The 22,040-nt window shown below is 41.6% G+C and overlaps 2 protein-coding genes across 7 annotated transcripts in view; one reads left to right on the top strand and one right to left on the bottom strand.

Moving 5' to 3' along the window:
- Positions 1-22,040, top strand: part of CASP6 (caspase 6) — a 45,380-nt gene that overhangs the window by 7,811 nt on the left and 15,529 nt on the right. For 2 of the 5 annotated variants that reach the window (XM_047416244.1, NM_001226.4), the window contains exons 2-7: positions 3,615-3,657; positions 4,189-4,335; positions 5,471-5,547; positions 7,257-7,432; positions 10,948-11,107; positions 12,389-13,329. In XM_047416244.1, coding sequence (XP_047272200.1) covers positions 3,615-3,657; positions 4,189-4,335; positions 5,471-5,547; positions 7,257-7,432; positions 10,948-11,107; positions 12,389-12,627 — 842 coding nt within the window. In that variant the 3' untranslated portion in view covers positions 12,628-13,329. Of the gene's footprint in view, positions 1-3,614; positions 3,658-4,188; positions 4,336-5,470; positions 5,548-7,256; positions 7,433-10,947; positions 11,108-12,388; positions 13,330-22,040 lie in introns of those variants that run through there. The other 3 variants (NR_133012.2, XM_047416245.1, NM_032992.3) reach the window with 3 other exon arrangements.
- Positions 13,238-22,040, bottom strand: part of MCUB (mitochondrial calcium uniporter dominant negative subunit beta) — a 128,474-nt gene continuing 119,671 nt past the window's right edge. For both annotated transcript variants that reach the window (XM_006714246.4, NM_017918.5), the window contains exons 5-8: positions 19,215-19,375; positions 17,311-17,514; positions 16,590-16,706; positions 13,238-14,442 (exon numbers count right to left, since the gene is read on the bottom strand). In XM_006714246.4, coding sequence (XP_006714309.1) covers positions 14,365-14,442; positions 16,590-16,706; positions 17,311-17,514; positions 19,215-19,375 — 560 coding nt within the window. In that variant the 3' untranslated portion in view covers positions 13,238-14,364. The remainder of the gene's footprint in view (positions 14,443-16,589; positions 16,707-17,310; positions 17,515-19,214; positions 19,376-22,040) is intronic.

The raw sequence follows: 22,040 nt of genomic DNA, 5'->3' as shown, positions 1-22,040 counted from the left end.
GTTTGGGAAGTTGAACAAAGTTTAGAAAGGTAGCCGGTCTCGGGTGGGAGGGGCTGCGTGGGGATGGGCCTACAGAGACTTTGGAATCTGTAGGTGGGCTGGCTTTCAATCCCAGCTTCACTTTGCCGACCTTGGCACGCCTGGCCCACTTTCTCTGTCCCTGTTCCTGAGCTGTGGAGCTGTGAGATAAGGTATCTAAGGCATCAGGCCATCAACAAATGGTAGCTGGCAGGATTATCTGGAGGGACTATCAAATTAGAGTGAGGTGAAAAAAGGAATGATTAGTTTTGTAAAACCTAAGCTGATTTAAGGAATAAGGAGGTGGCAGTTACATTATCCTGCAAAGGAAGAGAAGTGAAAAGAGGGCCAGACACAGTGGTGGGCGCCTCTAGTCCCAGCTACTGGGGAGACTGAGGCAGGAGAATCGCTTGAAACCTGGAGGTGGACTTGCAGTGAGCCAAGATTGCGCCACTGCACTGCAGCCTGGGCGACAGAGGGAGGCTCTGTCTCAAAAAAAAAAAGTGAAAAGAGGTCAAGAATCAGGTTTAAAGAAGGGCACATTTTTGATAAGTAGATTGCAGATGAAAAGGAATTTCTATATCTGTTATACAGGGTAGCTCCTTCATTAAAATTTATTTTCTCCATATCAATAAAGCTATTTCTTACTTTATCCAGGTTTTTAAATATTAACGCAGGCCGGGCGTGGTGGCTCATGCTTGTAATCCCAGCACTTCCAGGAGGCTGAGGCAGGTGGATCACTTGAGGCCAGGAGTTCAAGACCAGCCAGGACAACATAGCAAAACCCTGTCTCTACTGAAAATACAAAAAAAAAGTAGCTGGGTGTGGTGGCGCATGCCTGTAATCCCAGCTACTCAGGAGGCTGAGGCGGGAGAATCGCTTGAACCCGGAGGCGGAGGTTGTGGTGAGCCGAGACCACGCCACTGCACTCCAGCCTAGGCAACAGAGCAAGACTCCATCCCAAAAAGATAGTAATAAAAAATAAATATTAATGCGGCATAATGATACTTAAGTGCCCCCTTCTGGAAAGCTTGTCTTCTTGGGATACACAGCTCAAGGTGGTCATGATGTGTTATTTTCTCTCAATCTGTGGGTAAAGTTTATCAACTCCAGAAAAGTATTGGAACTTAGGTCCTGGCATCTGTCTCCATAGCTTTTTGTTCTGATTCAGTGTTTGCTAGAGTGGCCACTGGACCTGGTCATTAACTGGTACTGCAGGATGCAGGGTGCACTTTGTGAGAGTGAAGGTAAGTTACAGCTGGCCAGCATCAGAATTGGGATGTCCAGAGCCTAGGTTTTTTTCTACATCCGTAGCATTAACAAACAACAACAACAACAAAAAACTTAAAAAAAAAATCCCTCACTGAGGTTGCCAAATCTGTTAACTTTGAAACTGAATGTATTAAGAGATGGGGTCTAGCTCTGTTACCCAGGCTGGAGTATGGTGACTATTCACAGGGGCAGTCATAGCACACTATGTCCTAGAACTCTTGGGCTCAAGAGATCCTCCTGCCTTGGCCTTCCAGGTAACCGGGACTATAGGCTTGCCACTATGCCCGGCCAGAACGTCATTTTAAACAGATTTTCTTGAGCAGCTACTTAATACTAGTTAGCCATTCCTAAACCTGTAGGTCTTGACTAATGTGAGGGCATATTTGAGACAACCCAAACTCACATCTTAAGTTATTAATTTTAATGTGTCAGCTAACAACTGGGAAGCTACTTCTTTGGCAATATGAGAAACAAGAGTTTTAAAGACCCAAGCAAGAATACATCTCCAGTGTTTTCACCCTGAGGGATATGAGTTAGTTTGCTGAGCAGCCATTTGGCACAGCTTCCATGAGTTAGGTTGTGAGCCGCCTTCGGCTCAGCAGTCAGTATGGAGCAGAAGCCACAGGAGGTGAGCCGCTGGCCTGCTGCCACCGAGGAGGACACTGAGACATGAGTGCTTTCCAAGTTGTGCAGAATTTTGGCATGTGAGGAGGATGGTTGTGACATATGGATTTAATTTTCTTGAAGTTATTGTTTCTTTATACTCTAATTGGTTAAAAGATAAGCAGGTGAGGTTATCAAAAGGCAGTAGATTCCGACAGCTTTTGAAAATGGGAAGAGTGAAATCCCTGTGCTGTCTTCATAGAGCAGTGTGTGGAGTAGGAAGTACCTCGTTACTGTGCTCACCTAGGGCAAAGGTCGGATTAAACAGCTTTCTCATCTGCCATGCAGCGGGGAGGACCAGTTGGAGAGGTTGCTTTTGGCTCTCACACCTTAGTGTAAAAATCACTTTGTGAAAAATGCAGCTGTCACCTCCTTCCTCCAAGATTCTGATTCTGCCTCAGTTAGGATCCAGGAATCTGCATTTTAACATGCACACCAGGAATTCTGATGCCCAAGGTTGAGCAAAACTGACTTAGGGCGTACAGACAGAGGATGCCTTAGTGTGGGGTCTTAGTTGGGTCTCATTGCTTGGGGCAGTTCCAGGAGGAATAGGCTAAAAGGGACTTGAACTGAATTCCCCACCTTGTATTTTTTTTGAGGAGAAGTGAGGTTAGATCAATCAGGTGATGGGGGCTAGTAATGGGGAGATCTCTAAGGAGAGGGGAACCAACCCTTTTGGCTAGGAGATGATGGGTAAGAGTCCATGCTTTAGGGTCATTCTTCCTCAACTGAAGGGTGCATCTTGCTATACTGCTAATATTTCAGTTTATTCATTGCTGTCTCCCCTCTAAGCTGTTGAGCTATCAGGTAAAAACAGATGCATGAGTGGATGGGGCCTTTATTGTAGAAGATGCCACACTTTGCACTGTCCAGTGTAGAAGCCACTGGCCAATTCATTTAAATTGACAATAAAATCGAGTTCCTCAGTTGCATTAGCTGCATTTAAATGCTCAGTAGACACATGTGGCCAGTGGCTACCTTATGAGACAGTGCAAATACGGAACAATTCCACCATCACAGACACTTCCATGACATAGCACTGCTCTAGAGAGTAGAGAGGAATTCAGTGGAAGGCTGTCCAGGGAGTAGGGAGTCCAGTTGAGAATGGAGAGCAGAGGGCTCCCCTTACAGGGTTGGAAATGCAGATGTGTCATGCAGGAGATCCAAGGTCCAAGTCTTTGCCCTTGCCCTTCCCTTCCTCCACCCAAACTTCTACCTCTTCCAGGCTTACACCACTGCTAATCCAGCATTAACCACAAACTATATTTCAGTTTTCCTGTAGGACTTAATTCTTTTTCAGAAAATGTGCAAAAACATTTTCTGCATAACAAAGCAACTTCATATTTCAACTCCGTAATCACAGAACTGTTACTCTAGGCATATTTTGCAGTGAATGCATTTGTGTAATATTTTCTCCATTTCTGTTTATAAGATTGTTATTTTGCAGGTCAAGTTGGGGGTGAGAAAGCATAGAGCTGTTATAGTTTGTTTATTAGTAAGCAGTTTCCCTTCATTTCCTTTTCTTCACATACTTTGGCTTTTAAACTAACCAAAACAGAAGGGTCTTAAGAGTTTGGGAGTCAGAAGGGGGATGGGAGTTCCTACTATATTTTACTGCCATAAGTAAAAAATAATTAACAAAAATCAACTTTTTTTAATAGGTGGGGAAGAAAACATGACAGAAACAGATGCCTTCTATAAAAGGTAAAGCTGTGCTCTTTTCTAATAAAGGTCTCTTCCTTTGATGGTCATGATCAGCCTACAGAAATCAAAGCAAGAATGGGTCCTGGGAGCTAGGAAGTAAAACTGAGTAGGCCAAGTTTTAGCCTTTGGGGAGCTCATTTGTAGATAGGCAGGTTGTGCTGCCCCTGGTTGTCGAGGGACCCGGAGTGATGTTCAGAATGCATATTAATTGGCATGGCATGAGCCTAGAGCTAGAACTTGGTTCTGAGCCTCGTGGTTATTCCTGGTTGCTGGATCCTGGGGGCCAGGGGAAAGACATCAAGGCAGAGGGTTAGGGATGTGTCAGGATGGCACATGGCTGCTCTTTACCAATTGGCAGAGAGATATTTCAGGACTTTCCTTATTAGCATGGCCTTTCCTGGAGCACACCCATGGAACATCAGCCTGGCAAGGAGGAAGCTCAGATCTCTATCTACATGTTGACCTAGAACTTGGAGGGGCTCATTATTTAATATGACTTGAAGTGATTGTTTTTCAACTTTTCATTAACAGAGAAATGTTTGATCCGGCAGAAAAGTACAAAATGGACCACAGGAGGAGAGGAATTGCTTTAATCTTCAATCATGAGAGGTTCTTTTGGCACTTAACACTGCCAGAAAGGCGGGGCACCTGCGCAGATAGAGACAATCTTACCCGCAGGTAGTAGTTTTATCTACCTATCAAGATGAGGCAGTTAAGTGATAAAATTACTTTTGGCCAGGTGTGGTGGTTCATGCTGGTAATCCCAGCACTTTGGGAAGCCAAGGTGGGAGGATCACTTAAGGCAAGGAGTTTGAGACAAGTCTGGGCAACAGAGTGAGACCTGGTCTCTACAAAAAATAAAAATCAATTAGCTGGGCATGGTGGCGGTAGTCCCAGCTACTCTGGAGGCTGAAGGGGGAGGATTGCTTGATCCCAGGAGTTCAAGGCTGCACGGAGCTGTGATCATGCCACTGCACTCCAGGCTGGGCAACAGAGTGAGACCTTGTCTCTAAAATAAAAAATAAAATAATTTTTTTCCATGTTTCCAAATGAAAAGTTAAAAAAAATTAAAAATTAAAAAAATTCCAGACTTCTAGATGTAGGGAAAAGTTACTTATCATAACTTGTCAACACTAATGAGGTAACAACAGATCAAGAGTGTTGGAGCATGGGCCTTGCTTTGATGCAGCCTCCCTTAAGAACTTGCCTGAGTTGGCCGGGCATGGTGGCTCACTCCTGTAATCCCGGCACTTTGGGAGGCTGAGGCGGGTGGATCATAAGGTCAGGAGATTGAGACCATCCTGGCTAACATGGTGAAACCCTGTCTCTCCTAAAAAATACAAAAAATTAGCCGGGCGTGGTGGTGGGAGCCTGTAGTCCCAGCTACTCGGGAGGCTGAGGCAGGAGAATGGCATGAAGCCAGGAGGCGGAGCTTGCAGTGAGCCAAGATCAAGCCACTGCACTCCAGCCTGGGCGACAGAGTGAGCCTCTGTCTCAAAAAAAAAAAAAAAAAAAAAACTTGCCTGAGTTATTTTCCTTACTCTGTTCTATTAAATGTTGACAGGCTTTTGCATTTGTACTAACATTTGCATAGTAGACAACAACACTCTAAATTGAATCGGCTGTCATTATGATTAAATCCTTTCCGACCATGGTGAATGAAGGGAAAACCACCATTGTTATATTTCATTTCTTTTCTCCTAAAGAAAGCAAATTTATGTGTCGTTAAAATGTGTATAGATTCTTCCAAAGTAAGGGTATTTGACAACTTTGAAAAGTTTATAGGCTAACATTTCATTTAATATACCACTAGGTTTTCAGATCTAGGATTTGAAGTGAAATGCTTTAATGATCTTAAAGCAGAAGAACTACTGCTCAAAATTCATGAGGGTAGGTAGTTTTGCTATCATATAGTTCATCTTCCTCTAATGAAACCGAGTCCTTTATCCTATCTGTAAAGACAGGTACAAGTAATTACTTGTGTGACAAAAAAAGTATTAATTTAGCACAGGTTACAGGTTTTGGGTATGCTGCTGTGTTTCCGTTACCCAGCACATTTAGAGACCCTTGCAAATAATTATGCCTCTAAAGTTTATATTTAGCATACCACTAGTTACAGTCTCTTGTAGAAATGAATGAAATGACCCCTTCAATTGGCAGTAAAAGCCTAAAATGCAAGTACTACAGGTGCTGGGCAGTCAACAGGCTCATTTTCTCATTGACTCCTTTCATGCCTCATTTTCTCACTGGTTTCCAAATAGTGTTGGTTTACATACATTACCTCCTTTAATTCTCACAGCGTCAATAGGGGGTAGGTATTCTAATTATAACAACCTATATTATAATCATCGCTGCATGCCAACCATTATATTTGCATAATTACTTTAAACTTTCTTCAGAGCTCTTCTTTAAACTGCACATCATTCTAACTTTGGCTGCTTTTACCAGCTTTTCTACTTTGCTCAGAAGCTTTGGAGGACATCAGTCTCATGGCACCGCACCTGGCTTTGAGTACTCTTTTGGAAGCTCTAAGTGCTATAATCTTTTTTTTTTTTTTTTGAGATGGAGTCTCGCTGTCCGCCCCAGGCTGGAGTGCAGTGGTGTGATCTCAGCTCACTGCAGCCTCCACCTCCTGGGTTCAAGCAATTCTCCTGCCTCAGCTTCCCAGGTAGCTCGCCCCCATGCCCAGCTAATTTTTGTATTTTTAGTAGAGATGGGGTTTCACCGTGTTGGCCAGGCTGGTCTTGAACACTGGCCTCAAGTGATCCACCTGCCTCGGCCTCCCAAAATGCTGGGATTCCAGGCGTGAGCCACTGCGCCTGGCCCTAAGTGCTGTATTCCTATAGTGAAAGTGCAGCAATGCGTGGGGAGCTGTTGAGCAGCAGTTTCTGGGTCTTTCCACTCTGCTCTAAGGTCTCTGCTGATTCAAGGAAATTTTTAGTTTATTGCCAAAATAACTTGGATCTTAAGTGAGATTCCCTATCGTAATCCCTTTATGTTTTCCACATCATTCTGTGTTTTAGAAAGGCTAATGAAATTTGGTCAAACTCTATTACTCTGAACTTTAATAAATTTGGATTTTTTTAAAAAAATAAGATACAGTACGGTATATTGTTTGATTAAAGACTAAGTTGTTTCATCACAGATATTTTACACTTATTAAAGAGTAGGCCGGGCATGGTGGCTCATGCCTGTAATCCCAGCACTTTGGGAGGCTGAGGCGAGGTGGATCACCTGAGGTCAGGAGTTCGAGACTAGCCTGGCTACATGGCAAAACCCCGTCTCTACTAAAAATACAAAAATTAGCTGGATATGGTTTCAAATCTGTAATCCCAGCTACTTGGGAGGCTGAGGCAGGAGAATCGCTTGAACCCGGGAGGTGGAGGTTGCAGTGAGCCAAGATCGCGCCACTGCACTCCAGCCCTGGGCACCAAGAGTGAAACTCTGTCTCAAAAAAACAAAAAAGACAAAACCACAAATTTTCCTCCTCCCCAATCATGTGGATGTAACTTTATTCTTGTGTTAATAAACTGAATTTTTATGTGTAGATAACAAGCATCATATTTTCATTTCTATATTCTCTTTTGGGTCCTTTATAGTGTCAACTGTTAGCCACGCAGATGCCGATTGCTTTGTGTGTGTCTTCCTGAGCCATGGCGAAGGCAATCACATTTATGCATATGATGCTAAAATCGAAATTCAGACATTAACTGGCTTGTTCAAAGGAGACAAGTGTCACAGCCTGGTTGGAAAACCCAAGATATTTATCATTCAGGTAAGACTGAGTACATTATCATCTTAATTATAAAGTCTGTCATTCTGAACATGTGATAAAGGTCTAAAAGCCAGTTTTGAAAGTAACTTTCTCCAGTAATTGGACAGGCCGTTTTTGAATTCTGGCCAATCATAGTTGCACTTTGAGCTGTTAGTAATAATTCTTTGACACTCTCATTGTCTATATTACAAAATAACAGCATTTGGATTGAGATTTGAAGTGACTCACAAAGTAACCAATGTGCTACTCCCTGTCCGAGCCTGATACCAAGGAGAGCCATTGGAAAGCGTACCTGCTGATTGAAGAGTGCCGCACAAGGCAACCTCATCAGACTAGGTTTGCTTCTTTGGGAGGTGGAGAGCATATAAACCAGTGGAAAGAATGGAAAAATAAAGCCTTCTAGTCTTATCCTGTCTCATCCCTTTCACATTGCCCCTTAAACCAAGATTGTTTCCCCGCTGCCAAATTGGTTTTAGGGATAAAAGTATTTTTTACAGGCGTGATGGCTCACACCTGTAATCCCAGCACTTTGGGAGGCCGAGGCAGGCAGATCACCTGAGGAGTTCAAGACCAGCCTGGCAAACATGGTGAAACCCTGTCTCTACTAAAAATACAAAAATTAGCTGGGCATGGTGGCAGGTGCCTGTAATCCCAGCCATTCGGGAAGCTGAGGCATGAGAATTGCTTGAACCTGGGAGGCAGAGGCTGTAGTTAGCCGAGAGCATACCACTGCACTCCAGCCTGGGCGTCAGAGCGAGACTCTGTCTAAAAAAAAAAAAAAATTTTTTTTTTTGCATGAATATTACTTGGCACATCATTAACGATTTTTTTTTTTTTTTTGAGATGGAGTCTCGCTCTGTCCCCCAGGCTGGAGTGCAATGGTGCAATCTCGGCTCACTGCAACCTCCGCCCCCAGGTTCAATTATTCTCCCACTTCAGCCTCCCGAGTAGCTGGGATTACAGGCACCTGCCATCATGGCTGGCTAATTTTTGTATTTTCATAGAGATGGGGTTTCACCATGTTGGCTAGTGTGGTCTTGAACTCCTGACCTCAGGTGATCTGCCCGCCTTGGCCTCCCAGAGTGTTGGGATTACAGGCGTGAGCCACTGTGCCCGGCCAAAGATTTTGAACTACAAAAGAGAAACCTGACATGCCAGTGTCACAATTCTGTATTTCCATGAATAGCATGGAGGACATGAAATAACATTATGTTAGTCTATTCTTGCATTGCTATAAAGACCTGAGACTGGGTAATTTATAAGGAAGAGAGATTTGATTGGCCTACAGTTCTGCAGGCTGTACAGGAAGCATGGTGCTGGCATCTGCTTCTGGTGAGGCCTTAGGAAGCTTACAATTATGGTGGAAGGTGACAGAGAGCCAGCATATGACTTGTTGGGAGTGGGAGCAAGAGAGTGCCAAGGGAGAGGTCCCAGACTCTCTTAAGTAACCAGATTTCATGTGAACTGAGTGGGAGCTCACTTACACCAAGAGGATGATGCTAAACCATTCATGAGAGACCCTCCCCGATGATCCAGTCACCTTCCACCAGGCTTCACCTCCCACACTGGGAACCACATTTTAACATGAGATTTGGAGGGGACAGACGTTCAAACCGTATCAAACATGAAACTGCATTTCGCATCCTACCATAAAGCCTTGTTTTGGGGTGAGGAAGTGGCTGTAAGTGAAGAATGACTGCCTCGTTTCTGGTTTGGACAACTGCATTGGAATGTCTGTGGGACATGGAATTGGTCATACAGGTGTAGAACCTAAGACAGGTGGCCTCGGCTGGAGAAATAAATCAGGAGGTGGTCGTGGAAGCCATGGGATTAGATGAGTTTACTCGTGTTGAATACAGCCTGAAAAAGGAGCATAAAACAAAACCGAGGGGCACCCATGAGGAATGGGCTGAAGAGGGAAGATACTGAGGAGGATGGACACCAGGAGAGAAACAAGAAACAAATAATGACATGATTGTTTTGTGAAAAGGGGAGTGGCCAACACTGTCAAACACAAGAGAATTGGAAATAACTAATGAGCTACTGTGGGAAGAAAGCCACAAATGAAATCGTTTTCCAAGTTACTTTCTCTCTCTATGCCTTAGATTCTTGGTAAAAAGAGCACCTGCCTCATGGGGTGGTTGTGTGGGCAAAATCACCTGACTGATTTAATGAATGCAAACCACTTAGAACAGTGCCTGGCATACAGCACGCCCTCAGTAAAGGCTCGCTCTTACTCTTATTGCAGTTGACTGGGCAGGTGATGTCATTAGGTTAAAGGTGTTCTGTTATATTTAGGAAGGACAGTAGAAAAAAGGCCTGAAAATAAGCCTGCTGATACGAAGATTAAAATCTGCCTATAAAAACGGGATAGTAGGGATTTTCTATTTATTTTATGATTTGAAATCATTCAGGACTTTCTTTTGATGCTCATAATTCTTTAACCATTTCAGAACTGATTGATGCATTTATAATGCTACAACAGAATCTTATTGGCTGGCTGTATTCGTGTATAGGGTGACCATAACAAAGTACCACAGACTGTGTGGTTTAAACAGCAGGAATTTATCGTCACAGTCCTGGAGCTGGAAGTCTCAGATGAACGTGTGGGGAGGATTGGTTTCTTCTGAGGCCTCCCTTTTTGGCTTGTAGGTGGCCATCTTGTCCCTGTGCCTTCATATGGTCTTTCTTCTGTGCATGTCTGTGTCCCAATTTCTTCTTATGAAGACACTAGTCATGTTGGATTTGGTTTCACCCGTATGACCTCATTTTCCTTAATCACCTCTAAAGGCCCTGTCTTCCAATACAGTCAGAGTTGAGGTATTGGGGCTAGGACTTCAACATATGAATTTTTGGGGAACACAATTCAGCTTGTAAAAGTCACTTATGAGAAGAGTTTAATGTTAGCCTCTGAGTGAGTCAGAATTTAATGTTAATTATGAGTCTAAATTTAATGTAAATTCTGAGTGAGTCAGAATTAGTGGGTAAAAATTTGAGACCTCACTTTTTAATGGGCACACAAGGAAGATGGTGCATTAGTAGGTATCTCCTCAGGTCAGGCTGGATGTCATTTTAACTCCTAACAATTTATAGCAGCAGCCAGGCAAGCAAAAGTCAATCTGGAAATACACTGCCTGCCTAAACAGAAACACTTAGGTCAATACTATAGCTTTCAAAAGGGAAGGTAACACCGTGTGCCCTGGGTGTGGTTAATCTGTAAGAAATTTTAAAACCACAAGCTTTTTCCTCTACAGTATACCCTTCTACCAACATAATTTGATGTATACTTGGGGATGCCAATTTTTTCTTAAAACATTAACTAAAAGAAAGCCTAAGTAAGGAAACAACTTTGTTGGCTTTTGTGCCCTCCAAACCTGAATGTATTGCTTCTGAACTGCTCAGAATGTGGTTTCTGTTGTAATGAAGGGGTACTGGCTTACACATTCACTGCACACATTAAGCACTGGGAAGGAAACAGTAGGCAAAGAGGTGGGTTTTTCCTCCTTGTCTTGTAGGCATGTCGGGGAAACCAGCACGATGTGCCAGTCATTCCTTTGGATGTAGTAGATAATCAGACAGAGAAGTTGGACACCAACATAACTGAGGTGGATGCAGCCTCCGTTTACACGCTGCCTGCTGGAGCTGACTTCCTCATGTGTTACTCTGTTGCAGAAGGTGTGTGGTGTTTAAAACAAACATATAATTGCCTCTCTTGGCTAAGGTCCTGTAAGTTTCACCTTTGATTGGTTTGGGTCAGATCTTTCGGTTGGGACATGGTGATTCCATCCTGAAGCTCACAGACTTAGAATTTCTTTGACCACATGGCACAGAGTGATAAATGAAAGTGTAAAGTACCTTACAGAAAAATAATTCCTGAGAGTTATGTTGAGTAAAGCAACAGTCTAATTAATTATATTAGTATTAGCAGCCTACCATCAGTTACTGAGGGTGGTAGTGCCATTGTGGTAATTGTCATGGAAAGCTTTAATTTTTTTTTTTTTTGAGACAAGGTCTCAACTCTGTCACTGAGGCTGAAGTGCAATGGCATGATCATGGCTCACTGCAGCCTCAATTTCTCAGGCTCAAGCAATCCTCCCACCTCAGCCCCCCTGTAGCTGGGACTATAGGCATGCACCACCATGCTTGGCTAACTTTTTAATTTTTCGGTAGAGATTGGGTCTTGCTATGTTGCCCAGGCTGGTCTCAAACAATCCTCCAGCCTTGGCCTCCCAAAGTGCTGGGAGTACAGGTATGAGCCATTGCGTGCGTGCGTGCGTTTTTTTTTTTTATAGTCTCACTCTGTTGCCCAGACGTGTGTGTGTGTGTGTATTTTTTTTTTTTTTTAATAGTCTCACTCTGTTGCCCAGGCGGGAGTGCAGTGGTCCAATGTCAGCTCACTGCAACCTCTGCCTCCTGGGTTCAAGTGATTCTCCTACCTCAGCCTCCCGAGTAGCTGGGAATACAGGTGCCTGCCACCACGCCAAGCTAATTTTTGTAGTTTTAGTAGAGATGGGGTTTCACCATGTTGGCCAGGCTGGTCTCGAACTCCTGACCTCAAGTGATCTGCCTGCCTCAGCCTCCCAAAGTGCTGGGATTATAGGCATGAGCCACCATGCCCAACTGAAAAATATTTTGATAATGGTTCTTTGCTTTTGTAGTAAATAATTTTGACTTCTTTTTAGTAATCTCATGTCTCAATCATTGTCTATCTTGGGAATTTTTTAGGAAATGGAAGAAATTATACAGAATTAACCCCGTGTATATAAAACTATATAGAATTAATCTCTTTTCCCATTTGAAAAGAGTCAAAAAAATTTAAAAGCCATTTATATCATGGACACATCTTAAGACTCTTCTAAGGATTTTTAAGAACTTATACTTCTGTAACTAAAAAGAATACACACAGTAATTGAAAGCCAGAAAACTGCAGCAACATTTTCCTTCTCACTTTTTTAGGATATTATTCTCACCGGGAAACTGTGAACGGCTCATGGTACATTCAAGATTTGTGTGAGATGTTGGGAAAATATGGCTCCTCCTTAGAGTTCACAGAACTCCTCACACTGGTGAACAGGAAAGTTTCTCAGCGCCGAGTGGACTTTTGCAAAGACCCAAGTGCAATTGGAAAGAAGCAGGTTCCCTGTTTTGCCTCAATGCTAACTAAAAAGCTGCATTTCTTTCCAAAATCTAATTAATTAATAGAGGCTATCTAATTTTACACTCTGTATTGAAAATGGCTTTCTCAGCCAGGCGTGGTTACTCACACCTGTAATCCCAGCACTTTGGGAGTCCAAGGTGGGCGGATCACCTGAGGTCGGGAGTTCGAGACCAGCCTGACCAACATGGAGAAGCCCCGTCTCTACTAAAAATGCAAAAAAAAATTTAGCTAGGCATGGCGGCGCATGCCTGCAATCCCAGCTACTTGGAAGGCTGAGGCAGGAGAATCACTTGAACCCAGGAGGTGGAGGCTGCGGTGAGCCGAGATTGCGCCATTGCACTCCAGCCTGGGCAACGAGTGAAACTCCGTCTCAAAAAAAAGAAAATGTCTTTCTCTTCCTTTTATATAAATATCGTTAGGGTGAAGCATTATGGTCTAATGATTCAAATGTTTTAAAGTTTAATGCCTAGCAGAGAACTGCCTTAAAAAAAAAAAAAAAAAGTTCATGTTGGCCATGGTGAAAGGGTTTGATATGGAGAAACAAAATCCTCAGGAAATTAGATAAATAAAAATTTATAAGCATTTGTATTATTTTTTAATAAACTGCAGGGTTACACAAAAATCTAGCTGATTTAACTTGTATTTTGTCACTTTTTTATAAAAGTTTATTGTTTGATGTTTTTAAAGGTTTTTGAAATCCAGGAATTAAATCATCCCTTAATAAAATATTCGAAATTCATATTTTATTACATTTTTCTAACTCACATTCTTGTTCATTTGTGTAATTGATAGATGTTTTTTACTCGGTCATTTAAATGTTTAATATTTCATCTACATATGAATTACCACATTTTGTGTATGACTTTAATTCCTACTTTAAAAAAAATCAGCATTCCAGAATTGTTGTATGGCATTCTGAGGATGAAATAGAAAACATAATTCTTAGCCACTATAGGTTGAACACCTGCAAAATCTGATTCTGTCAGCATCTTCCATGTTAAGTTCCTACAAACAGTCCAACAGTCATCAGACCCATTCACACACAATCACATTAATAGAATAACAGATGTTACTTTCAAGGTTCAATTCTTATTAATATGATATAGAATCTGAATAATACTGTTTTGTTAATAATCTGCCAGAGGCTGAAGAAAGTTAACTGTTTTGGCTTCGATACCTGAAACTTGTGATTTGCAGGTTCAAAAGCAATCGTTTATATACACTGTTTCAGTTGAAGTTCAAAAAGTACCAACTATACTTTATGGTTGGTGGAACATTTATGCCTTTTTGATAAATGATAAAAAGATCTTACTCCCAACTACTGCATATTAAAAAAAGAAGTTAATGACAAGACGATTCCGTGGGAGGTTGAGGCAGGAGGGTTGCTTGAGCCCAGGAGTTTGATTTGGCAAGACCTGGTCTCTGATTTTTTTAAAAGGATGATTCCAAATTAAGTCTAAGAATGGAAGTGAATGCCAAGCACAGACCCTTTCACCTCCACATAGAGAATAAACGTGGGACAAGCTGACAAGGATTTTTAGCTAACAGCAGCCACCGTTGCTTTGATAGACGCATACAAGCCCTTTCTAACATTAGCAAGTCATAAAAATCCAAAAAGTAAAAATCTCAGTTGAGAACTTCAAACAATACTTCTGTTTTACAAGAATTTAATAACAAAGATTAAACAATCAAAATGAACCATGGGACTCAAAAACATCCTAAGTTGCAAAATCAATACATAATGGAAAATCTGACGACATTTAAAACTGTAAGATTAATTCTTTTCATTGAGTTCTTCTACTTGCATTTGCAAACAGAGAGAATGACGCGCCTGTTTCAGGGATTCTTTAGCCTGTCATGGGAAAAAGAAAAAGCATGTGATCAGAAAGAAGAGAAACATACCAACATTACTGCTTGAGAGGAATTCTATAAACTTAGCGTCTCCTTACAGCAATAAAATGTTTAAACTATTAGTGGCAAATGGCTGAAATATATATATATTTTTCTTGAGATGGGGTTTCATTCTGTCACCCAGGCAGGAGTGCAGTGCTACCATCTCAGCCCACTGCAACCTCTGCCTCCCTGGTGCAAGTCATTCTCCTGCCTCAGCCTCCCAAGTAGCTAGGACCACAGGTGCCCACCACCATGCCCACCTAATATTTTTTGGTATTTTTTGTAGAGATGGAGTTTTGCCATGTTGCTCTGGCTGGTCTTGAACTCCTGGACTCAAGTGATTTGCCCACCTTGGCTTCCCAAAGTGACGGGATATAAATATTTCAATTTTATATGTGGATCTTTTTAAAAGATGAGTTTAAGTTTACTAATTCATCCTTATGCCTTAAAAAAAAATACAGTTTATACCCTTTATAATGGTTTTCCACTTAATATTCTTAAAAAAAAAACCCTTAACCTACCACTTTATCTTTTTATCTCCACTTTATTACCTTAAACATAATTAACAAGGTGTTATATTTAAATTTTTTTATTTTAGAGATGGGGTCTTGCTCTGTTGCCCAGGCTGGAGTGCAGTGGTGTGATCATAGTTCACTGCAGCTTTGGAACTCTTGGGTTCAAGGGATCTTCCTGCTTCAGCTTCCCAAGTAGCTAGGGCTACAAGCATGTGCCACCATGTCCAGCTAATTTAAAAACAAATTTTGTAGAGATGAGGTCTCACTATGTTGACTAGACTGGTCTCCAATTTCTGGACTCGAGATCCTCCCACCTCAGCCTCCCAAATCACTGGGATCACACTAGGCTTACCTTCTAAATCTCAAATGCACTGTCTTGTAAACTAGCTGAAAGAACATTCCTTAGCCTTCTCAGATAGGATTATTCAAATATAAGGGAATCCACAAATTTTTTTTAAAAGCATTATATTTTTCCTATAGAATGACTATATGAAATAAAATACATTTTTTAAAAAGGCTTGGCTGGACATGGTGGCTCACACCTGTAATCCTAACACTTTGGGAGGCCAAGGCAGGTGGATCACTTGAGGTTAGGAGTTTGAGACCAGCCTGGACAACATAGTGGAACTCTGTCTCTACTAAAAATACAAAAAGTAACCAGGTGTGGTGGCGGGCGCCTATAATCACAGCTAACTCAGGAGGCTGAGGCACAAGAATCACTTGAACCCAGGAGGCGGAGGTTGCAGTGAACTGAGATTGCACCACTACACTCTAGTGTGGGCAACAGCAAGAATCTGTCTCAAAAAAATTTAAATTAAAACGTCCTTCAATTTTTGGACTACAAAATTTGAGTGATTCTGTTTTAAATTCTAGGGATGAGTAATTTAGAAAGTACACATAACAAAAGGTTTGATTACCAGCTACTAAACAAGCATGCATTGAGCAATGGAGGATATTTTTACCAAACTTTTTTGTTATGAAATTACTGATAAAAATGAAAAATCCAGTGATGTGCTGAGAAGTCACCATCTGAACAAAGTTAATGAGTAAATTGGGAGGCCAGAGATAACTGGCTAACAAGCAGACTGTGAAAAAGTACTTAAGAATATAGACTCCGAAATCAAACTTGTGTTCGTACCATGGTTCCTTCACTTTTTAGCAGTGTATACCTGAGTAAGTGCCTTTCAGAAGGGAAAAAGATGAAGGGAGGAATACTATAATGATTCTTCTATCTTTAGGGACAAGAAACTTATAAATGCCTTAAGTTCCTTATCACAGTGTTCACCTTCCTAAAATGCTATTTTTTATTATTTGCTTAGAAATGGATTTCCAGTGAAAACTTTTATTTTACTATCTCAAGTCATTTAAGAAATTTTAACACACATATTTAAAGCTATCTTCATGTACAGAAGAGTAAAACTGGGATATGAAATTAATATGAAATATGTCAACCATTTCAATGAACAATCCCACAACACACAGAAATCTAGGACCAAGATTTAATTTGTGAGGATGAGCCACCAGTTATACTTCCCTGATACTAAGTTCTGGCTCCCAAACAAACCAGCTATAAGATGTATTTGTAGTATACCTTAGCAAGGTCTTCTTTTAACTTGTTGTATTGCTGCACATCAAAGTGCTGTTGCTTTGATTTCTTGTGGAAGAACTGAAGAAATTGCCTACTCTTAACAGCTGAGTAAGTATAATCCTTAAAAAAAAAGAGAGAGAGAAGAAAACAACATGTTTTGAATGAACATAATGCCTCTGCAAGAAAGATACTTGACTCAGCAACACCAAAGCAAAAGAAGGCAGATGAATGAGTGAAATATTTGCAATGGCCATGAGAGTAAGCATAAGCCAACACAAAACATTTAGTCTCATTTAAGATCTGCTGCTCCTTTCAAAAACAGGCAAGCTGGGAAGAGAAATTACACATAATGGGAAAGAAGAAGGAAGAAATAAGAAAAGGGAGATTTTTGGCATATTAAATAACCATGAGGCAAAGCTGATGTTACTGAATGTTTTGCAATGCAAATTCAGTTTTTTTTATAAATGAGGGCACAGAGAACACATATTTATCCCAATGGAGGAATTTGTGTGTTACACTAATTACTTCTCCAAAGAAGTTATATATAATTTCTCTGTGTTGTGAGTCTTCATTCAGTCTTGTGAAAAACAATAAAAAATTTACCAGCTCATAAAAACCAGATGGCAGTAATTCAGTAAATAAAAAGGCTTTTTTGCTCATTGCTTAGATAAGACATTCTTTGCAAAGATGTTCTAACTTACCATTTTCCTAACAAACTACTCACCTGTCGAGTGACTATAAAGTATGCAAAAAAGACCATAGAATTTGCAAATGTGATGAAGTATGTAACTGGCTCCATGATATCCCAGGAGTACACCCACCACGTGAGCCAGGCCAGTGCCCCACCCTGAATGGACAGCAGTGCCAATCCAGCCCACAGGAGTCCACTGGTTTTGGCTTCCGAATGAGCTTCTATTCCAGCTTTCACCTGAGGGGGAATGAAAAACTGTTAATTCTGTTTACAAATACACCAACTAAAGGGACAAAAAGCAAGATGAAAAGGAACTCTTGCCGGGCGCGGTGGCTCACGCCTGTAATCTCAGCACTCTGGGAGGCCGAGGTGGGCGGATCACGAGGTCAGGAGATCGAGACCATCCTGGTTAACATGGTGAAACCCCGTCTCTACTAAAAATACAAAAAATTAGCCGGGCATGGTGGCAGGCGCCTGTAGTCCCAGATACTCAGGAGGCTGAGGCAGAAGAATGGCGTGAACCCAGGAGGTGGAGCTTGCAGTGAGCCAAGATCACTCCACTGCACTCCAGCCTGGGCGACAGTGCAAGACTCTGCGTCAAAAAAAAAAAAAAAGAAAAGAGGAACTCTTGAACAAATGCACATCTGCATTACTTTGAAGAGGTCAGACATATGGAAAAACAATTTATGAAACATACATGAATGAGTAAATGCTCATTTCAAATCAGCTCACTAATAAAACTCTTTAAAACTATAAAGGTAATAACTGCCCTTGGAAAAATGAATAGTAAAGTATACAATTGAAAACTCAGAAGTCATCCTCTGAAACCCAACTAAAATTAGAGGCCTATTTGACTCAGCAATTCTACTTCTAGGAATTCATTCTGAATATATACCTGCATACACAAAACCCATTACAGATTCATTCTCAATAGCTGAAGTCCTAAAAGAATCCATATGCCCATCAAGATATTACACAACTGTAATGAAGCTCTGTGCCAATAAGGAGAGATTTCTATAATACACTGAAAAAAGATGAGAATAGTGCATAATAGTGTGCTTCCTTTTCTGAGAAAGAGAATAAAATAAGAATGTATTTGTTTGTACACAGATAAAGGAAATCTGAAATGATTCATAAGTGTGGAGAATATAGTAACTGTGTGGAGGACAGGGTGGGAGGAAAACTTTAGATTTTAAAATTTTAATCCAAGTAAATATATTACAAGTAAAGAAAAAACTAAAATGGTAAACGATAAAAAAAACCAAACAAGTCCCTCTCTCTGCCATCCTCCAAATACCCTTAGAGGTAATCACTATTAAAACTTCCTTACATCTCCAGAAACTTTCCATTCATATTCAAAGATACACATATACCTTCCCATTTAAATAAAAACCACAAATGGGATTATAAGTCTAAAGAATGCAATTCTTTCCCTTGAAACAAACCAATTTCCCCAACTATCCCCCCAAATCAAAGTTATTTTTTCCACACCATTGATTAACTTTAGATGCTAGCCATTACCAACTTTCCAGCTGCAATTCTGTTAGGCACAGCAGGGGCTCTGGGCCTATTCTCTAAAAAGGAAAGGGAGGTAGGACTCCAGCTAGTGCTGCCCTGCTCATATTATACTTATTTACAGAGACATTATGACTGATCTCTGGAGAGGAGGCATGGCATAGAGTTTAAGATGGCAGCTCTGAACACAGGCCACGTGAGCTCAAGTCCAGGCTCTACCATGTATTAGCGATACAGCTCTGTTGCTCAGTTTCCTCATCTGAAAAATGAGGAAGATAAAAGCACTGAACTTACAGGTTTTTTGTGAGGCGTAAAGGAGAAAATTAGCATATGGAAAGCATTCAGAAAAATGCTCACATGAGGAGCACTCAATAAACACTAGGTATTATTTTCAAATATACTCAACCGTGATGCTTCCTAACCTGTTCAAGGGGCTGCAGCTGTTCCTTCAGGTGGTCAATTTTCTCCAGTAAATGGTGCTCTCTCTTTTTCTGAGACTCTTCTAAATGCAAGATTGTAAATAGTCTGTGAACCAAAGATTTCATGTGTTCCATCTCAGCAGTGTGCTCATTACTTGGTTTTTCTGAGAAAAGACACAAGGGAAACAAGCCAGTCACCACATTGTTCCCGCAGGGTGTGTAAATCTTTCGGTCCCCAATTCTCTTTCCAAATATTATCTTAGGATCCACAGGGTAAGGAAGCTGGTGTACAAACATGTAAACAAAGGTGTAATATACATTTGAAAAGCAGTTCAAGTGTACTTTTCAACAAAGAGAGTCACAGTAAACAACAAAGTGTGGATCTGAAGAGCAGTTCATATACAAGGTAAAAAAAAAAAAAGTCACCAAAAAAATGACTTTGGCATAAGGATTATTTTCAGCTGAAGGCAATTGAGCATAAGCAGCTACAAGAAAGGCTCTCTGGCCTCTCCCTTTTTGCCCAAAAGCAGGACACAAATTTTACAAAGACCTCGTGAGAGACAGAACTAGCTGGATTTCCTAGGCCAACTAAGAATCCCTAAGCCTAGCTGGGAAGGTGACCGCATCCACCTTTAAACACGGGGCTTGCAACTTGGCTCACACCCAACCAGAGAACTCACTAAAATGCTAATTAGGCAAAAACAGGAGGTAAAGAAATAGCCGATCATCTATTGCCTGAGAGCACAGCGGGAAGGACAAGGATCGGGATATAAAACCAGGCATTCGAGCCAGCAATGGCAACCCCCTTTGGGTCCCCTCCCTTCGTATGGGAGCTCTGTTTTCACTCTATTTCACACTATTAAATCTTGAAACTGCACTCTTCTGGTTCGTGTTTGTTACTGCTCGAGCTGAGCTTTCGCTCACTGTCCACCACTGCTGTTTTGCCGCCGTAGCAGACTCGCTGCTGACTTACATTCTTCCGGATCCAGCAGGGTGTCCACTGTGCTCCTGATCCAGCGAGGCACCCCTTTGCCGCTCCAGATCGGGCTAAAGGCTTGCCATTTGTTCCTGCACGGCTAAGTGCCTGGGTTTGTCCTAATTGAGCTGAACACTAGTCACTGGGTTCCATGGTTGTCTTCCGTGACCCACGACTTCTAATAGAGCTGTAACACTGCATGGCCCAAGATTCCGTTCCTTAGAATCCGTGAGGCCAAGAACCCCAGGTCAGAGAACACGAGGCTTGCCATCATCTTGGAAGTGGCCCACGACCATCTTGGGAGTTCTGGGAGCAAGGACCCCCGGTAACACTCTCTACCAGAAAGAACAAAGGTAGATCGCCAGAGACAACTTTAGACCCTTTTCAGCTTGGAGACTGCACCAGAGGAATCTACAGACAAACTTTAGTAGCTTTTGACTACCTTTAACCAACTTATTTGCTTTTCCACAATTTGCTGACCCCAGAGACTCAAGGACCTTTTCCTTTGACTTGTCACAACTCTAAAAATGTATTATTCTTTGTAGAAGATGCTCTATCAGCTGAGGTTCAGAGCCACCTCTTTGAGAATTACTCATTCCTTGGATACCTCCCATGTGTCTATGGAATATACACATTAATAAACTACTGTTTGTTTTCTTCTTAGTAATCTCTCTTATCACAGGGGTCCATCCCAGCTAAGAACTAAGAGTAAAGGGAAAATTATTTTTCAACTCTTACAGGAGTTACGGTTTCAGAGTTTTTAATATAAAGTTCTCTTGATTATAGACTTCCCTCATCCCACCTCCTCCATGGGTTTATAAGTCCATATAAAATTAGGCTCTGCTATGAGAAGTCCCTCAGATTGATACCCTTCTGAGAGCTGTAATTGTTCATTATCACTGTTAAGAGAACCTGAGGGAGGACAAGGTGAGAGGAAGGGAAGATGGACCTTCCCACCAGGCAGCAGCAAACAACTGCAGACAAGAGAGACATATGTCTAGAGTTGGTATCAGCCCAGTAAGTTTTCCAGTTTGTGTCAGTAGTCCTGAAGTTATTTTTCTTCCATCACTACCCAATTCAAGACTGCTGTGGTCTTTACCCCCTTCCATAGTCTAGGCTATAGCTGCCACAGAGGGGTGAAAGCTAGGTGTTCTCTTTTAGGCTTTGAGATCTGTAGAAGAGTCAGAGTCCTTTTGTTAATGAAAAATGTATTGGTACATAAAACATATACATACAGAGAAAAGGCATAGATGGAAGATAGGCAAAGCTAGGCACTAAAACAGCAAGGGTAAATTTTATTAATAACTATTGCAATAGGGTCCAGCGTGAACTGAACTCAACTTCAATTTGTGCAGAGATGACTGTTTTAAAGAAAGAATGACAGAATGGGCAGGGTGAACAGCAGGGGCTTGAACAGAGTCAGGGAAATGAAAATTTACAAAAAGTGGATAGTTGGTTAATGTTACTGGGCCATCTGGGTTTGTTAACTGGTACCTATCCAGAAGAGAAATAAACTTCTCATACCTTATGACAGGATGCAAGTCAGAGCCAGGCACCCACGGGTTGGGAGTAAGAGCCAGAGTTATGTCCTTGAACGTTAACATTTCAAAGAGAGACTCCCAAGTCCTTGAGAAGACAGGTCTGGGTGATAAAAAATTTATACCCTCAGGCCAGGTGAGGTGGTTCACGCCTGTAATACCAGCACTTTGGGAGGCCAAGGTGGGTGGATCACCTGGGTTCAGGAGTTTGAGATCAGCCTGGCCAACAGGGTGAAACCCCGTCTCTACTAAAAATACAAAAATCAGCTGGGCATGGTGGTACACACCTGTAGTCCCAGCTACTCAGGAGGCTGA

Source organism: Homo sapiens, chromosome 4, assembly GCF_000001405.40.
Source record: "Homo sapiens chromosome 4, GRCh38.p14 Primary Assembly".
Lineage (NCBI taxonomy): Eukaryota > Metazoa > Chordata > Mammalia > Primates > Hominidae > Homo > Homo sapiens.
The sequence above is the reverse complement of the archived record's forward strand: the minus strand, read 5'-3'. Positions and strand labels throughout refer to the sequence as shown.